Source organism: Homo sapiens, chromosome 10 (genome assembly GCF_000001405.40).
Source record: "Homo sapiens chromosome 10, GRCh38.p14 Primary Assembly".
Classification (NCBI taxonomy): domain Eukaryota; kingdom Metazoa; phylum Chordata; class Mammalia; order Primates; family Hominidae; genus Homo; species Homo sapiens.
Window position 1 is genome coordinate 94,807,520 of NC_000010.11, and position 20,282 is coordinate 94,827,801.

The 20,282-nt window shown below is 38.3% G+C and overlaps 1 protein-coding gene across 1 annotated transcript in view; it reads left to right on the forward strand.

Annotated features, from left to right (window-relative positions):
• Positions 1-20,282, forward strand: part of CYP2C19 (cytochrome P450 family 2 subfamily C member 19) — a 92,867-nt gene that overhangs the window by 44,839 nt on the left and 27,746 nt on the right. The window contains exon 6 of the mRNA NM_000769.4: positions 12,977-13,118. Coding sequence (NP_000760.1) covers positions 12,977-13,118 — 142 coding nt within the window. The remainder of the gene's footprint in view (positions 1-12,976; positions 13,119-20,282) is intronic.

The window sequence follows — 20,282 nt, forward strand, 5'->3', positions numbered from 1 at the left end:
AGTTCTCTTTCTCTGCGTCCTCACCAGCGTTGGCTGTCTTTTGTCTTTTTGATGATAGCAATTCTAACTGGAGTGAGCTGATATCTCATTGTGGCTTTGATTTGAATTTCCTTGCTGATATAATCATAAGCATTTTCCATATACCTATTGGCCACTTGTATGTCTCTTTTGGGAGACGCCTGTTCAGTTTATTTACCCATATTTTAATTGTAGTATTTGTTTTTTTGTTTCTGTTGAATTGTTTGAGTTACTTGTATATTTTGGATATTAATCCTGGTCAGATGAAAATATTGCAAATATTTTCTGTCATTCTTCAGGTTGTCTTTCCACTTTATTGAATGTTTTCTTTGCCCTGCAGAAGTTTGCTATAATCTCATTTGTCTAATTTTTACTTCAGTTGCCTGTGCTTTTGAAGTTTTATCCATTGCCAAGACCAATACTCTGAAGCATTTCTCCTGTTTTTCTTCTAGTAGTTTCATAGTTTCAGGTATTAATCATTTCATTTGTTTTGAGTTTATTTTTGTAAATAATGAGAGATAAAAATCTTGTTTCATTTTTCTGCATATAAACATCCAGTTTTCCTGTTGCTATTTAATGAAAAGACTGTTCTTTCATCAGTGAATGTTCTTGGTGCCTTGTCAATAATGTTTGCTATAAAGGCATGGAATAATTTCTGTGTTCTCTGTTCTCTTCCATGGGTCCATGTGTCTGCTTTTAGGCCAGTATAATGTTATTTTAGATATTATAGATTTATAGTAATTTTTGTGTGTTTTTAAATGTTTCTGGGTACACAGAAGGTATATATATTTGATGGGTACATGAGATCTTTTGATATAAAAATGCCATGTGTAATAATCACATTATGGAAGATGGTTTATCTATCCTCTCAAGCATTTATCCTTTATGTTACAGACAATCGAATTATACTCTTTAAGTTATTTAAAAATGTATGATTGACTAATTATTGACTATAGTCACCCTATTGTGCTATCAAATACTAGGACTTATTCATTAATTATAACTATTTTTGTACCAATTAGAATTTCCACTCCCCTTCACCCACTCACTGTCCCTCCCAGCCTCTGGTAACCATCTTTCTACCCTGTATCTCCATGGGCTCAATTGTTTTGAGTTTTAGATCCCACAAATAAGTGAGAACATGTGATGTTTGTCTTTCTGTTCCTGGTTTATTTCACTTAACATAATAATCTCCAATTCTATCTGTGTTGTTGCAAATGACCGAATCTCATTTTTTTAAATGGCTGTATAGTACTCCGTTGTGTATATGTACCACGTTTTCTTTATCCACTCATCCATTGATGAACACTTAGGTTGCTTCCATATCTTAGCTATTATAAACAGTGCTGAAACAAACATGGGAGTGTAGATATCTCTTCAATATACTGATTTCCTTTCTTTTGGATATACCTAGCAGTGGGATTGCTGGGTCATTTGGTAACTTTATTTTTAGTTTTATGAGGAACCTCCAAATCTTGCTCCATAGTAATTGTATGAATTTAAATTTCCACAAAAAATATATGAGGGTTCCTTTTTCTTCACATCCTTACCAGCATATGTTATTGCTCATCTCTTGGATATAAGCCACTTTAACTGGGGTGAGATGATATCTTATTACAGTTTTTATTTGCGCTTCTCAGATGATCAGTGATATTGAGCACTTTTTCATATGTCTGTTTTCCATTTGTATGTCTTCTGTTGGGAAACGTCTATTCAAATCTTTTGCCCACTTTAAAACTAAATTATTAGATTTGTTCCTAGAGAGTTGTTTGAGCTCCTTATATAGTCTGGTTGTTAATCCCCTGTTAGAGGGGTAGTTTTCAATTATTTTCTTCCTATCTGTGGGTTATCTTTTCACTTTATTGATTGTGTCCTTTGCTGTGCTGAAACTTTTTAACGTGATATAATCCCATTTGTCCATTTTTACTTTGGTTGGAGTTTTCTAAATCTACAATCATGTAATCTGCAAACAGACAAAATTTGATTTTCTCTCTTCCTGTTTGAATACCTTTTATTTTATTTCTTTCTCTTGCCTGATTGCCCTGGTCAGAACTTCCAATATTATGTTAAATAGAAGTGGTGAGAGAGGGCATCCTTGTCTTGTGCCAGTTTTCAAAGGGAATGCTTCCATTTTTGCCCATTCAGTATAATTTTGGCTGTGGTTTGTCATAAATACCTCTTACTATTTTGAGATACATTCCATCAAAATCTAGTTTATTGAGAGTTTTTAGCATGAAGGGGAGTTGAATTTTGTCAAAGGCCTTTTCTGCATCTATTCAGATAGTCATGTGGTTTTTCTCATTGGTTATGTTTATGTGATGGATTATGTTTGTGTGTGTTTGTTTATTTATTTATTTATTTTGAGACAGAGTCTTGCCCTGTCACCCAGGCTGGAGTGCAGTGGCATTATCTCAGCTCACTGCAACTTCTGCCTTTCAGATTCAAGTGTTTCTCCTGCCTTAGCCCCCTGAATAGCTGGAATTACAGAGGCTGCCACCACGCCTGGCTAATTTTTTGTATCTTTAGTAGAGACTGAGTTTCACCATGTTGGCCAGGCTGGTCTCAAACTCCTGACCCTGTGATCCACCCACCTCAGCCTCCCAAAGTGCTGGAATTATAGGCGTGAGCCACGTCGCCCGGCCTACATTTATTGATTTGCATGTGTTGAACGAGCCTTGCATCCCAGGGATGAAGCCAACTTGATCGTGGTGGATAAGCTTTTTGAAGTGCTGCTGGATTCAGTTTGCCAGTATTTTGTTGAGGATTTTCGCATGGATGTTCATCACGGATATTGGCCTGAAATTTTCTTTTTTTTTGTTTTATGTCTGCCAAGTTTTGGTATCAGGATGATTCTTCCCTTATAAAATGAGTTAGGAAAGAGTCTGTCTTTTTCTACTGTTTGGAGTACTTTCAGAAGGAATGGTACCAGCTCCTCTTTGTACCTCTGGTAGAATTCGGCTGTGAATCCTTCAGGTCCTGGGCTTTTTTTTGCTTGGTGGGCTATTCCTTGCTGCCTCAATTTCAGAACTTGTTATTGGTCTCTTCACGGATTGGACTTCTTCCTGGTTTGGTCTTGGGAGGGTGTATGTGTCTAGAAATTTATCCATTTCTTCTAGATTTTCTAGTTTATTTGCATAGAGGTGTTTATAGTATTCTCTGATGGTAGTTTGTATTTCTGTAGGATCAGTGGTGATATCCCCTTTATCATTTTTTTGTTCTCTCTATTTGATTCTTCTTTCTTTTCTTCTTTATTAGTCTGGCTAGCAGCCTATTTTGTTAATCTTTTCAGAAAATTAACTCCTGTATTCTTTGATATTTTGAAGGGATTTTCCTGTCTCTATCTCCTTCAATTCTGCTCTGATATTAGTTATTTTTTGTCTTCTGCTAGGTTTGAATTTGTTTGCTCTTGGTTTTCTAGTTCTTTTAAATGTGATGTTAGGGTGTTGATTTTAGATCTTTCCTGCTTTCTCCTCTGGACATTTAGTGCTATAATTTTCCCTCTAAACACTGCTTTAGCTGTGTCTTGGAGATTCTGGTACACTGTGTCCTTGTTCTCATTGGTTTCAAAGAACATCTTTATTTTGCCTTCATTTTGTTATTTACCCAGTAGTCATTCAGAGCAGGTTGTTCAGTTTCCATGTAGTTGTGCAGTTTTGAGTGAGTTTCTTAATCCCGAGTTTTAATTTGATGGCACTGTGGTCTAATAGGTTGTTTGCTTTAATTTCTGTTCTTTTGTATTTGCTGATGGGTGTTTTACTTCCAATTATGTGGTCAATTTTAGAATAAGTGTGAAGTGGTGCTGAGAAGAATGTATATTCTGTTGATTTAGGGTGGAGAGTTCTTTAGATATCTATTATGCCCGCTTGGTCCAGAGCTTAGTTCAAGTCCTGGAGATCCTTGTTAAATTTCTGTCTCATTGATCTGTCTAATATTGACAGTGGGGTGTTAAAGCCTCCATCTATTATTGTGTGGGAGCCTAAGCCTCTTTGTAGGTCTTTAAGAACTTCCTTTATGAATCTGGGTGCTCCTGTATTGGGTGTGTATCTATTTAGGATAGTTAGCTCTTCTCGTTGCATTGATCCCCTTAACATTATATGATACCACCCCTTTTTTTAATCTTTGTTGGTTTAAAGTGTGTTTTATCAGAGACTAGGATTGCAACCCCTGCTTTGTTTTGCTTTCCATTTGCTTGGTAAATATTCCTCCATCCCTTTATTTTGAGCCTATGTGTGTCTTTTCACGTGAGATAGGTCTCCTGAATACAGCACATTGATGGGTCTTGACTCTATCCAATTTGCCAGTCTGTGTCTTTTAATTGGGGCATTTAGCCTGTTTACATTTAAGGTTAATATTGTGTGTGGATTTAATCCTGCCATTATGATGCTAGCTGATTATTTTGCCTTTTAGTTGATGCAGTTTTTTTATAGTGTTGATGGTCTTTACAAAATTTAGTATGTTTTTGCAGTGGCTGTTCCCAGTTGATCCTTTCCATATTTAGTGTTTCCTTCAGGAGCTCTTGTAAGGCAGGCTTGGTGATGACAAAATCCCTCAGCATTTGCTTGTCTGTAAAGGATGTTATTTCTCCTTTGCCTATGAAGCTTAATTTAGCTGGATATGAAATTCTGGGTTGAAAATTCTTTTCTTTAAGAATGTTGAATATTGGCCCCCACTCTCCTCTGGCTTGTCGAGCTTCTCCAGAGAGATATGCTGTTAGTCTGACAGGCTTCCCTTGGTGGTAACCCGACCTTTCTTTCTGGCTTCCCTTAACATTTTTCCTTTCTTTTAACCTTGGTGAATCTGACAATTATGTGTCTTGGGGTTGCCCTTCTTGAGGAGTATCATTGTGGGTGTTTTCTGTATTTCCTGAATTTGAATGTTGGTCTGTCTTGCTAGATTGTGGAAGTTCTCCTGGATAATATCCTGAAGAATGTTTTACAACTTGGTTCCATTCTCCCCATCACTTTCAGGTACACCAATCAAACGTAGATTTGGTCTTTTCACATAGCACCACATTTCTTGGAGGCTATGTTCATTTCTTTTTATTCTTATTTTTTAACTTTTTTCTTCACATTTTATTTCATTAAGTTGATCTTGAATCTCTGATATCCTTTCTTCTGCTTTATCAATTTGGCTATTGATATTTATTTATGCTTCACAAAGTTCTCATTCTGTGTTCTTCAGCTCCATCAGGTCACTCATGTTCTTCTCTAGTTAGCAATTCGTCTAACATTTTTTCAAGGTTCTTAGCTTCTTTGCAATGGGTTAGAACATGCTCCTTTAGCTCAGTGGAGTTTGTTATTACACACCTTCTGAAGCCTACTTCTGTCAATTCATCAAATTCTTTCTCTGTCCAGTTTTGTCCCCTTGCTGGCAAGGAGTTGTGATCCTTTGGAGGAGAAGAGATGTTCTGGTTTTTGAAATTTTCAGCCTTTTTGTGCTGTTTTTTTTTTCTCATATTTGTGGATTTATCTACCTCTTGTCTTTGATGTTGGTGACCTTTGAATGGGTTTTTTGCGTGGACATCCTTTTTGTTGATGTTGATGCTATTCCTTTCTGTTTGCTAGTTTTTTTCCTAACAGTCAGGCCCTTCTGCTGCAGGTCTGCTGGAGTTTGCTTGAGGTCCACTCCAAACCTTGTTTGACTGGGTATCACCAGAGGAGGCCACAGAACAGCAAAGATTGCTGTGTGTTTATTCCTCTGGAAGCTTCGTCCTAGAGGGACACTTGCCAGATACCAGCCAAAGCTCTTTTGTATGAGGTGTCTGTTGACCCCTGCTGGGAGGTCTGCTGTTCTCTTTAGAGCCAGCAGGCAGGAACATTTAAGTCTGCCGAAGCTGCACCCACTGCCACCCCTTCTTCCAGGTTCTCAGTACAGTGAGATGGGAGTTTTATCTATAAGCCCCTGACTGGGACTGTTGCCTGTCTTTCACAGATGCAACTGCTCAGAGAGTAGGAATCTAGAGGGGCAGTATGGCTACAGTGGCTTTGCGGAGCTGAAGTGGACTCCACCTAGTCCTAGCTTCCTGGAGGCTTTGTTTACACTGTGAGGGGAAAACCACCTACTCAAGCCTCAACAATGGCAGACTCCCCTCAACACCCCCCCCAAGCTCGAACATCCCCAGTCAACTTCAGACTGCTGTGCTGGCAAACAGAAGTTCAAGCCAGTGGATCTTAGCTTGCTGGGCTCCATGGGGGTGAGATCCCCTGAGCTAGATCTCTTGGCTCCCTGGCTTCAGTCCTCTTTCCAGGGGACTGAATGGTTCTGACTTGCTGGTGTTACAGCACCACTGGGGCATAAAAAAAACCCCTCCAGCTATCTTGGTGTCTGCCCAGATGACCACCCAGTTTTGTGCTTGAAACCCAGGGCCCTGGTGGTGTAGGCTCTGAAGGGAATCTTCTGGTCTGTGGGTTGTGAAGACCATGGAAAAACTGCAGTATTTGGGCCAGAGTGCACCGTTCTTCACAGCACATTCCCTCAAGGCTTTCCTTGGCTATGGGAGGGAGTTCACCAATCCCTTGGGCTTCCAAGGTGAGACAACATTCCTCCCTGCTTCAGTTTAGCCTCCATGCACTGCACCTACTGTCTAAACATTCCCAGTGAGATGAGCCAGGTACCTCAGTTGGAAATGCAGAAATCACCTACCTTCTTCATTGATCTCGCTGGGAGCTGCTGACTGGAGCTTTTCTTATTCAGTCATCTTGCCAGCCACCCTCCTGATTGAGTTTCTTTAAGGTAATTATTTTGAATTCCTTTTTTGAATATTTGTGAATTTTTTTCATTGAGGTCTGTTATTTGAGAGTTATTATGTCCCTTTGGTGGTGCCATATTTCTTTATTTTTCATGTTGTGTCCCTGAATTTATGTCTATGCATGTGATGGAACAATTGCTATTCCAAAATCTCTAGAGTGAATTTCATAGAGAAAGACTTTTATCTGAAGTTGAGTGTTTGTGTGCAGGTGACGAAGAGTGGGTAACTCAGTTTTTGATAGATGCATTGTGATAGTATCTGTGTAGTTTCTCTAGCTATGGCCAATATCAGCAATAATTTTGGGTGCCTCAGTGGCCTAGGTTGTAGAAGTTTGCAGCAGTATCAGGAGCAGTGTAGGTTGTTAATGTCCTTAGTGTCAAAGTATTTGGGCGTCCTCCTATTTTTATTTTCCTAAAATTGGGGTGACTTAGCCTAAGGGATTCCTTTTGGTGTCATCTCTGACATGGCATTAACTCAGCGGCATTGGTGCTGGGTTACAAGTACAGATCCTTGAAGTTGTCATAGAAGCATCATTCTAGACTCAGGGTCTTTTAATCATGTATTGTGACACCTGGGTCTTGCGGTGCAGGTTCACTCTCTGTGGCAGTGTTGAATGTAGATTACCCACAGAACCAAGGTCTATGACTCTAGCACACCTTAGCAGCTGAAGCCCACAGACTGAGTTGTGGCTGTGAATCTGTTTCTGAGGGTGAGGTGCAGGAAAATGCCGTGGCCTGCCTCTGATGTAGAAGGGGTGCTCTTTAGATTTGAGCCCAGCAAGTAGAATATGGCTACTATCATTAATAAGATAGGATATACTACCTTATTAATGCTAAGTAACCAAGCTCAAGTCAAGAGATGGAAATGTTAATACTGGTTTGTGACTGCACTGTTCTTCTTACTTAAGAGTAATTTTCAACATGGCAAGCTTAGAAAACTGTGTGAAGCTGATGTTACCAAGGGAGAGGACTGTCTTTGTCTACACATGTTGAGAGAATCTAGTCTATTTCAGTGGTGTTAACTACACAATGTTTAACATGACACAGGTCACTTGGAGACTCTAAAAGCATAATTAATTTATTGCTGGCCTAGGGACTTGTTAGAAAGTAATATGTTTTTGTATATTGATGATCTCTTGTACTCAGTATTCAAAACTTTCCCCTTATTGTTGTCAATTCTGCATCACATCAACACCCCAGCCCTAATTCAAACTAAGTATTCCTCATCCATTGCTTCCACTCTCTGAACTTCCAAATTTTGAGAACTCCAGTCTCTGAGTCTTGGCATATGCCTTACCCTTACTCTCTCTTTTATTCCCTGTGGGCAATTAATGTCCTTATTCTCCATCTTCATCATTCTCCTTTCTCTTCACTTTGTATATTTTTATTTATTCCTGCACTACTTGCATTCTAGAAAAAGTTGTCTGTTGCCTCCCATATAGATTACAATACTGTGGGCCCATCTTGTCATTGTAAACTCATTCTCTTTCTCTATAATTTATTCTAGGTTTTACTGTCATGTTGCTTTTTTCATATCTGTTTTTATACAATTTCAACTTTATAATGAATCTGCAGGCAATATTGAGTCCATGTACCTTTCTGACAGAAGAAGATAATTGCAGACTCTTGTTTCAGGCTCATAGTATCTAATGATATGGCCCTAATTTTCCTATTTTTATTAATTTAAGTTGTGGTTGTCTACAGGTAATAGTAACTTTAACAGAAAATGTCTTTATGTCTTCTCATTTGTGTTTTGAGAATGAAAGAGGAAATAGAAGAAGTGGATCTAGAGATCTTCTGCTTATATATTTTTTTTGCCAAAAAATATGCTGTGTGAGTCAGCTAACTGCAGAGTCTGACAAATGGAATTTTTAAGCAAGCATGGAATAAGGGGGTAGGAAATAAAGTTTGGGCCAGTTGGTCTACAGCATCCACTACACCATACAGTATTTTTTCTTTCTTTTTTTTTTTCTTTATTTTTATTTTTATTTTTTTTATTTTTATGGCATAAGTGGGATTTTATTTATTGTTTATGCAAAACAAAGTAGCCGGTATAATTAGACAGTCATTTGTAACTTCCAACATAAACATTTTAGGAACAGTAGTATCAAAAGTGAGTGCTAATTAGAGAGCTGTTAGAGAAAATATAAGTGGTAACAGATTAACAAACTATACCAAACAGCAGGCTATTTATAACTCCATGCTGTTTTAAATTCTCTTTTGTTTAACAGTCTTTGTACTACTTATTTATTTTTTTAATTTTTACAAAAACATAAGGAAAATGTAGTCTCTTTCTTTTTTTTTTTATTATACTTTAAGTTTTAGGGTACATGTGCACATTGTGCAGGTTAGTTACATATGTATACATGTGCCATCCTGGTGCGCTGCACCCACTAACTCGTCATCTAGCCTTAGGTATATCTCCCAATGCTATCCCTCCCCCCTCCCCCCACCCCACATCAGTCCCCAGAGTGTGGTATTCCCCTTCATGTGTCCATGTGATCTCATTGTTCAATTCCCACCTATGAGTGAGAATATACGGTGTTTGGTTTTTTGTTCTTGTGATAGTTTACTGAGAATGATGATTTCCAATTTCATCCATGTCCCTACAAAGGATATGAACTCATCATTTTTTATGGCTGCATAGTATTCCATGGTGTATATGTGCCACATTTTCTTAATCCAGTCTATCATTGTTGGACATTTGGGTTGGTTCCAAGTCTTTGCTATTGTGAATAATGCCGCAATAAACATACGTGTGCATGTGTCTTTATAGCAGCATGATTTATAGTCCTTTGGGTATATACCCAGTAATGGGATGGCTGGGTCAAATGGTATTTCTAATTCTAGATCCCTGAGGAATCGCCACACTGACTTCCACAATGGTTGAACTAGTTTACAGTCCCACCAACAGTGTAAAAGTGTTCCCATTTCTCCACATCCTCTCCAGCACCTGTTGTTTCCTGACTTTTTAATGATTGCCATTCTAACTGGTGTGAGATGATATCTCATTGTGGTTTTGATTTGTATTTCTCTGATGGCCAGTGATGATGAGCATTTTTTCATGTGTTTTTTGGCTGCATAAATGTCTTCTTTTGAGAAGTGTCTGTTCATGTCCTTTGCCCACTTTTTGATGGGGTTGTTTGTTTTTTTCTTGTAAATTTGTTTGAGTTCATTGTAGATTCTGGATATTAGCCCTTTGTCAGATGAGTAGGTTGCGAAAATTTTCTCCCATGTTGTAGGTTGCCTGTTCACTCTGATGGTAGTTTCTTTTGCTGTGCAGAAGCTCTTTAGTTTAATTAGATCCCATTTGTCAATTTTGTCTTTTGTTGCCATTGCTTTTGGTGTTTTGGACATGAAGTTCTTGCCCATGCCTATGTCCTGAATGGTAATGCCTAGGTTTTCTTCTAGGGTTTTTATGGTTTTAGGTCTAACGTTTAAATCTTTGGCCGGGTGCGGTGGCTCACACCTGTAATCCCGGCACTTTGGGAGGCCGAGGCGGGCGGATCACGAGGTCAGGAGATCGAGACCATCCTGGCTAAAACGGTGAAACCCCGTCTCTACTAAAAATACAAAAAATTAGCCGGGCGTAGTGGCGGGCACCTGTAGTCCCAGCTACTTGGGAGGCTGAGGCAGGAGAATGGCGTGAACCCGGGAGGCGGAGCTTGCAGTGAGCCGAGATCCCGCCACTGCACTCCAGCCTGGGCGACAGAGTGAGACTCCATCTCAAAAAAAAAAAAAAAAAAAAAAAATCTTTAATCCATCTTGAATTGATTTTTGTATAAGGTGTAAGGAAGGGATCCAGTTTCAGCTTTCTACATATGGCTAGCCAGTTTTCCCAGCACCATTTATTAAATAGGGAATCCTTTCCCCATTGCTTGTTTTTCTCAGGTTTGTCAAAGATCAGATAGTTGTAGGTATGCGGCGTTATTTCTGAGGGCTCTGTTCTGTTCCATTGATCTATATCTCTGTTTTGGTACCAGTACCATGCTGTTTTGGTTACTGTAGCCTTGTAGTATAGTTTGAAGTCAGGTAGTGTGATGCCTCCAGCTTTGTTCTTTTGGCTTAGGATTGACTTGATGATGCGGGCTCTTTTTTGGTTCCATATGAACTTTAAAGTAGTTTTCTCCAATTCTGTGAAGAAAGTCATTGGTAGCTTGATGGAGATGGCATTGAATCTGTAAATTACCTTGGGCAGTATGGCCATTTTCACAATATTGATTCTTCCTACCCATGAGCATGGAATGTTCTTCCATTTGTTTGTATCCTCTTTTATTTCCTTGAGCAGTGGTTTGTAGTTCTCCTTGAAGAGGTCCTTCACATCCCTTGTAAGTTGGATTCCTAGGTATTTTATTCTCTTTGAAGCAATTGTGAATGGGAGTTCACTCATGATTCGGCTCTCTGTTTGTCTGTTGTTGGTGTATAAGAATGCTTGTGATTTTTGTACATTGATTTTGTATCCTGAGACTTTGCTGAAGTTGCTTATCAGCTTAAGGAGATTTTGGGCTGAGACGATGGGGTTTTCTAGATAAACAATCATGTCGTCTGCAAACAGGGACAATTTGACTTCCTCTTTTCCTAATTGAATCCCCTTTATTTCCTTCTCCTGCCTGATTGCCCTGGCCAGAACTTCCAAATCAACAGAATATACATTTTTTTCAGCACCACACCACACCTATTCCAAAATTGACCACATAGTTGGAAGTAAAGCTCTCCTCAGCAAATGTAAAAGAACAGAAATTATAACAAACTATCTCTCAGACCACAGTGCAATCAAACTAGAACTCAGGATTAAGAATCTCACTCAAAACTGCTCAACTACATGGAAACTGAACAACCTGCTCCTGAATGACTACTGGGTATATAACGAAATGAAGGCAGAAATAAAGATGTTCTTTGAAACCAACGAGAACAAAGACACAACATACCAGAATCTCTGGGACGCATTCAAAGCAGTGTGTAGAGGGAAATTTATAGCACTAAATGCCCACAAGAGAAAGCAGGAAAGATCCAAAATTGACACCCTAACATCACAATTAAAAGAACTAGAAAAGCAAGAGCAAACACATTCAAAAGCTAGCAGAAGGCAAGAAATAACTAAAATCAGAGCAGAACTGAAGGAAATAGAGACACAAAAAACCCTTCAAAAAATCAATGAATCCAGGAGCTGGTTTTTTGAAAGGATCAACAAAATTGATAGACCACTAGCAAGACTAATAAAGAAAAAAAGAGAGAAGAATCAAATAGACACAATAAAAAATGATAAAGGGGATATCACCACTGATCCCACAGAAATACAAACTACCATCAGAGAATACTACAAACACCTCTACACAAATAAACTAGAAAATCTAGAAGAAATGGATACATTCCTCGACACATACACTCTCCCAAGACTAAACCAGGAAGAAGTTGAATCTCTGAATAGACCAATAACAGGAGCTGAAATTGTGGCAATAATCAATAGTTTACCAACCAAAAAGAGTCCGGGACCAGATGGATTCACAGCCGAATTCTACCAGAGGTACAAGGAGGAACTGGTACCATTCCTTCTGAAACTATTCCAATCAATAGAAAAAGAGGGAATCCTCCCTAACTCATTTTATGAGGCCAGCATCATTCTGATACCAAAGCCGGGCAGAGACACAACCAAAAAAGAGAATTTTAGACCAATATCCTTGATGAACATTCATGCAAAAATCCTCAATAAAATACTGGCAAACCGAATCCAGCAGCACATCAAAAAGCTTATCCACCATGATCAAGTGGGCTTCATCCCTGGGATGCAAGGCTGGTTCAATATATGCAAATCAATAAATGTAATCCAGCATATAAACAGAGCCAAAGACAAAAACCACATCATTATCTCAATAGATGCAGAAAAAGCCCTTGACAAAATTCAACAACCCTTCATGCTAAAAACTCTCAATAAATTAGGTATTGATGGGATGTATTTCAAAATAATAAGAGCTATCTATGACAAACCCACAGCCAATATCATACTGAATGGGCAAAAACTGGAAGCATTCCCTTTGAAAACTGGCACAAGACAGGGATGCCCTCTCTCACCGCTCCTATTCAATATTTTTTTCTAGTACTATACTTTACAGTTTCTATGTTGGTAAGTATACAATGTGAGTAATTTTGAATTTACTGTCATCAAATATGCTGTTAAATAATTTGTCAGATAATTGCATCAAATCATTCCTAGGAAAAGCAAAACCAACAGTCTGAATTCACTATTGAAAACTTGGTAATCACTGCAGCTGACTTACTTGGAGCTGGGACAGAGACAACAAGCACAACCCTGAGATATGCTCTCCTTCTCCTGCTGAAGCACCCAGAGGTCACAGGTATGATCACAGAGGATGAGTTAATTGAGTTTTAGGAAAGATGTTGGGAAGGTGCTGCTAGTGTTCTCCTTTCTGTTTCTCTTAGAGAAGTTCCATTATTTAAATTTCTGTGCCCGCAGCTGTAATCTGTCCCAATTTAATGGTGTGATTAAAATGGAATATCCTGGCCTGGTGCAGTGGCTCATGATTGTAATCCCAGCCCTTTGGGAGGCCTAGGTGGGTGGACCATTGAGGCTAGGAGTTCAAGACCAGCCTGGCCAATATGGCCAAGCCCCATCTCTACTAAAAATACAAAACGTAGCCGGGCATTGTGGCACACCACTGTAATCCCAGCTACTTGGGGGCTGAGGCATGGGAATCGCTTGAACCCGGGTGGTGGAGGTTGCAGTGAGCCAAGATTGTGCCATTGCACTCTAGCCTGGGTGACAGAGTGGGACCCTGTCTCAGAAAAGAAAAAAAAGGAAAAGAAAAGAAAAGAAAAAAAGGACATCTTTGCACAGTAGAGGAAGATAACTGAGAGAAATGAAGACAGCATGGCAGTTTCAAAAGCAATAGAGCTCTGGCCCAGTGTGTCTGGATTTCATCGACAGTGACTTATGGCAGGAAGAGACAACATAAGTTGGCCTGGGATTGCATGTTGGTTTTATTATTAAAAGGCCATTTTGAACAGCAAGTGTATTGTTAAAGATAATTTTTCTCATTCTCAAAACTTCAGGTTCAAATGCTGGAGTAGGGAAAATGGAAACTCTTCTTATTGAAGGATAAATGGTAATCCTAGAAATGTAGTGAGGCTGCCTGAAAAAATTCCTAGTCTGATAAGTATTCTAAAAAGTTAGATTCATGAGAAAGTTGATTCTGTTTACTAAAAGAGGTACCTAAAGAATGTTCCATTTAGGCAGAAGATGTACCTGAGACAGTTTCTGTGAAATTGGTGTTGGATAAAATAAGAATATTTTTGGGGGGGCCAATAATTTTATCTTTTATGAACAACTTTACTTTAGAAATTTTAAAGACTTTCGGTTATGCTGCAGATAATAAATATTCTTTTTTCCCCTGTGTCAGTATCCCCCATTTAATGACAATAACCTAATTACAAATAAGAGTTAGGCCTTTTTTTGAACAATTACTAACCTATAACGTTCTAGAAGATTTTTTCAACTTTTTTTTATAGATTAAAGGGTAAAAATACAGATTTGTTACATGGGTAAATTGTGTAACACTGAGTCTCGGGGTCCCAACTATTTCATCACCCTGGCAGTAAGCATAGTACCCAACAGATGGTTCTCCAACCCACATCCCTTCTCTCCCTCCCCTATATAGTGATCCTCAGTGTCTATTGTTCCCATCTTTAGGTTCATGTGTATTCAATGTTTACTTCCCATTTATAAGTGAGAACAGGTGGTATTTGGTTTTCTGTTCTTGTATTAGATTGCTTAGGATAATGGCCTCCTGCTTCATCTATAGTGCTGCAAAAGACATGATTTTTGTTCTTTTTTATGGCTGCATAGTATTCCATGGTGTATATACTAGTCTGTTCTCATGCTGCTAATAAAGACATACCTGAGGCTGGGTAATTCATAAAGGAAAGAGGTTTAATGGACTGTCAATTCCACATGACTGGAAAGGCCTCACAATAAGTCTCTGATAGCAAGACTTATTTACTATCACAAGAACAGCATGGGAACACCCTGCCCCCATGATTAAATTATGTCCCATTGAGTCCCTCCCATGACATGTGGGAATTATGGGAGCCAAAGTCCAAGATGAGATTTGAGTGGGGACACAGTCTAAACATATCAGTGTATATTTACCACATTTTCCTTATACAGTCTACTGTTGATGGGCACTTAAGTTGATTCCATTTTTTTGCTATTGTGAATAGCACTACAGTGAACATATTGGTGTGTGTGTCTTTTTGATAGAATGAATTTTTTTGGGGGGGCATATACTCAATAGTTGGATTGCTGGGTCAACTAAAGTTCTATTTTAATTTCTTTCAGAAATATCCAAACTGCTTTCCACAGTGACTGAACTAGTTTGCATACCCACCAGCAGTGTAAAAGCATTTTCTTTTGTCTGCAACCTCACCAGCATCTCTTGTTTTTGGACTTTTTAATATTAATAATTGCCATTCTGACTGGTGTGAGATGGTACCTCCTTGTGATTTTGATTTGGATTTCTCTGATGATTAGTGATGTTGAACATTTTTTCATATGTTTGTTGGCTGCTTGTATGTCATCTTTTGAGAAGTGTCTGTTCATGTCCTTTCACCATTTCTAATTTTTTTTTTGTTTTTTGCTTGTTAATTTGTTTTAGTTTTTTATAGATTTGGGATATTAGCTGTTTGAGCCCTTTAAGCTATGTAGAGTACAGGCAATAGTCAATAAAGCTTTAACAAATTTCTAAAACACAGAGAGCAAATGGAGGAATAATAAATCAGTACAGAGAGGATAAACTTGTAACCAAAAAGTCAGAAGAGGAAAATTTATCAAGGAGAAAAATTAATCAGTGTCCCTTAAGTCCCCTCAATATTAGTATTTGGAAGTGCCAAGGGTCAAATATGGTAGAGAATGAGGTTGAAAAACGAGGCTCTCTCTGCCTAGGTTTCCTACACAACTCTTTTCATCAAGTAACTAATTTTCTCCCACAAGAAAAAGGAGGCTTACTCTCTAGAGAAACTGAGTTTAAGAAGCCCCATACTCAGGGACAAAGGGCAGTGCCAGAAAAGACATGAGGTGTAGGCTAGAAAGGCAGATTTGGTAAGGGTCCACACCTTCAATTCAGAGACTTAAAGCTCTTTTATTCATCTTGCTTCCTAAAATTCAGCAGCTAGCGTTATCCTACAGAAAGGGAACTGATCTAGAGAAATGACATTTTTCTTTTGCCATCTTAACAGAAAATTATCTTCAATGTCTAACAGAGTGAATGAAATGAAAACATACTCTGCTAGACACAGGGTCATGGAATTTCAGGACACCAGAATTAAAGGGAAAATCACAAAAACTTTCAGAGCTATACCAGGTCATATTGAAAGAATTAGGATTCAGAATTCTCAAGAGGAACTATTAATATTATTTAGCATATTAATAGAAATAGTGTGTTTTCAGACTTGCACATTTGCCAAAATTTTACCTTCTATTGTCCCTTTCTCAGAAAAATATTGGAGAATGTGCTTAATTCAAATGCCTGAAGCCTAGTTATAGAAAGTCCTGAGCTCCAGCAATCAGACCTCATATAGGACAATGAGAGTGTCAGGGAGGCTGCCTTGCACCAGGCCTAGAAAACAACTACTTCAGAATGAACCTGGTGGATAATTCAGAAGTGAGATGAGACAGCAAGAACAAGAGATGTGACAGATTTTATGAGAGTTTCCAATAACTAAAAAGGAGTTTCAAACATCTGCCTGAACATTTGTAAGTATTTCTAACTTGGGAAACAGAAAATTACAAATAGAAATAAAGAGATGTGGTTAAGTTTAAGAAAGTGCTAAAAATAAAATATAATCATAGCTGTCTTACCAGAGAACCATATTTATGTAGTCAGAATGATATAAGCAATGAATACTGATATCATAAAAATTGTCATCTAAATATATTCTGGAAAAAGCAGTGTGGAAAAATTAGTGTGTCTATCTGAGGGTGTGTTCAAATATGAGGTGAACATGGAGATTAAAATTTTCATCTCATAATAAAAAATTATTAAATATAATCTACAAAAAGATAAGTAAGAAATAGAAACAAGGTCTTTATTTAGAAACGTGAATGTATTTTCAGAAGAAGCTGCTAGAATGTTCAAAATGGTAGATTTGGAAAGTGTGAGAATGAAGAGAATACCATTGCAAATTGCAGACTCTCACACACACAAGCACAGCTGCACAAATACACAGTTATATATATGCGTAAATCTGTTAGCATAACTTAATGTTTAAACGTGTTATTTTGATGTAAAATTAATTCCTGTTTTTTTCCAAGACAGTAATTTCATGACTAAATTTATGCTTACTTTATGTTTTCAAACATTTCATTTTTTTAATTATACTTTAAGTTTTAGGGTACATGTGCACATTGTGCAGGTTAGTTACATATGTACACATGTGCCATGCTGGTGCACGGCACCCACTAACTCGTCATCTAGCATTAGGTATATCTCCCGATGCTATCCCTCCCCCCTCCCCCCACCCCACATCAGTCCCCAGAGTGTGATATTCCCCTTCCTGTGTCAATGTGATCTCATTGTTCAATTCCCACCTATGAGTGAGAATATGCAGTGTTTGGTTTTCTGTTCTTGTGATAGTTTACTGAGAATGATGATTTCCAATTTCATCCATGTCCCTACAAAGGACATGAACTCATCATTTTTTATGGCTGCATAGTATTCCATGGTGTATATGTGCCACATTTTCTTAATCCAGTCTATCATTGTTGGACATTTGGGTTGGTTCCAAGTCTTTGCTATTGTGAATAATGCCGCAATAAACATACGTGTGCATGTGTCTTTATAGCAGCATGATTTATAGTCCTTTGGGTATATACTCAGTAATGGGATGGCTGGGTCAAATGGTATTTCCAGTTCTAGATCCCTGAGGAATCGCCACACTGACTTCCACAATGGTTGAACTAGTTTACAGTCCCACCAACAGTGTAAAAGTGTTCCTATTTCTCCACATCCTCTCCAGCACCTGTTGTTTCCTGACTTTTTAATGATCACCATTCTAACTGGTGTGAGATGGTATCTCATTGTGGTTTTGATTTGCATTTCTCTGATGGCCAGTGATGATGAGCATTTTTTCATGTGTTTTTTGACTGCATAAATGTCTTCTTTTGAGAAGTGTCTGTTCATGTCCTTTGCCCACTTTTTGATGGGGTTGTTTGTTTTTTTCTTGTAAATTTGTTTGAGTTCATTGTAGATTCTGGATATTAGCCCTTTGTCAGATGAGTAGGTTGTGAAAATTTTCTCCCATTTTGTAGGTTGCCTGTTCACTCTGATGGTAGTTTCTTTTGCTGTGCAGAAGCTCTTTAGTTTAATTAGATCCCATTTGTCAATTTTGTCTTTTGTTGCCATTGCTTTTGGTGTTTTAGACATGAAGTCCTTGCCCATGCCTATGTCCTGAATGGTAATGCCTAGGTTTTCTTCTAGGGTTTTTATGGTTTTAGGTCTAACGTTTAAGTCTTTAATCCATCTTGAATTGATTTTTGTATAAGGTGTAAGGAAGGGATCCAGTTTCAGCTTTCTACATATGGCTAGCCAGCTTTCCCAGCACCATTTATTAAATAGGGAATCCTTTCTCCATTGCTTGTTTTTCTCAGGTTTGTCAAAGATCAGATAGTTGTAGATATGTGGCGTTATTTCTGAGGGCTCTGTTCTGTTCCATTGATCTATATCTCTGTTTTGGTACCAGTACCATGCTGTTTTGGTTACTGTAGCCTTGTAGTATAGTTTGAAGTCAGGTAGTGTGATGCCTCCAGCTTTGTTCTTTTGGCTTAGGAATGACTTGGTGATGCGGGCTCTTTTTTGGTTCCATATGAACTTTAAAGTAGTTTTTTCCAATTCTGTGAAGAAAGTCATTGGTAGCTTGATGGGGATGGCATTGAATCTGTAAATTACCTTGGGCAGTATGGCCATTTTCACAATATTGATTCTTCCGACCCATGAGCATGGAATGTTCTTCCATTTGTTTGTATCCTCTTTTATTTCCTTGATCAGTGGTTTGTAGTTCTCCTTGAAGAGGTCCTTCACATCCCTTGTAAGTTGGATTCCTAGGTATTTTATTCTCTTTGAAGCAATTGTGAATGGTAGTTCACTCATGATTTGGCACTCTGTTTGTCTATTGTTGGTGTATAAGAATGCTTGTGATTTTTGTACATTGATTTTGTATCCTGAGACTTTGCTGAAGTTGTTTATCAGCTTAAGGAGATTTTGGGCTGAGATGATGGGGTTTTCTAGATATACAATCATGTCATCTGTAAACAGAGACAATTTGACTTCCTCTTTTCCTAATTGAATCCCCTTTATTTCCTTCTCCTGCCTAATTGCCCTGGCCAGAACTTCCAACACTATGTTGAATAGGAGTGGCAAGAGAAGGCATCCCTGTCTTGTGCCAGTTTTCAAAGGGAATGCTTCCAGTTTTTGCCCATTCAGTATGATGTTGGCTGTGGGTTTGTCATAGATAGCTCTTATTATTTTGAAATACATCCCATCAATACCTAATTTATTGAGAGTTTTTAGCATGAAGGGCTGTTGAATTTTGTCAAAGGCCTTTTCTGCATGTAGTATTGAGATAATCATGTGGTTTTTGTCTTTGGTTCTGTTTATATGCTGGATTACATTTATTGATTTGCGTATATTGAACCAGCCTTGCATCCCAGGGATGAAGCCCACTCGATCATGGTGGATAAGCTTTTTGATGTGCTGCTGGATTCGGTTTGCCAGTATTTTATTGAGGATTTTTGCATGAATGTTCATCAAGGATATTGGTCTAAAATTCTCTTTTTTGGTTGTGTCTCTGCCCGGCTTTGGTATCAGAATGATGCTGGCCTCATAAAATGAGTTAGGGAGGATTCCCTCTTTTTCTATTGATTGGAATAGTTTTAGAAGGAATGGTACCAGTTCCTCCTTGTACCTCTGGTAGAATTCGGCTGTGAATCCGTCTGGTCCTGGACTCTTTTTGGTTGGTAAGCTATTGATTATTGCCACAATTTCAGCTCCTGTTATTGGTCTATTCAGAGATTCAACTTCTTCCTGGTTTAGTCTTGGGAGAGTGTATGTGTCGAGGAATGTATCCATTTCTTCTAGATTTTCTAGTTTATTTGCATAGAGGTGTTTGTAGTATTCTCTGATGGTAGTTTGTATTTCTGTGGGATCGGTGGTGATATCCCCTTTATCGTTTTTTATTGCGTCTATTTGATTCTTCTCTCTCTTTTTCTTTATTAGTCTTGCTAGTGGTCTATCAATTTTGTTGATCCTTTCAAAAAAACCAGCTCCTGGATTCATTAATTTTTTGAAGGGTCTTTTGTGTGTCTCTTTCCTTCAGTTCTGCTTTGATTTTAGTTATTTGTTGCCTTCTGCTAGCATTTGAATGTGTTTGCTCTTGCTTTTCTAGTTCTTTTAATTGTGATGTTAGGGTGTCTATTTTGGATCTTTCCTGCCTTCTCTTGTGGGCATTTA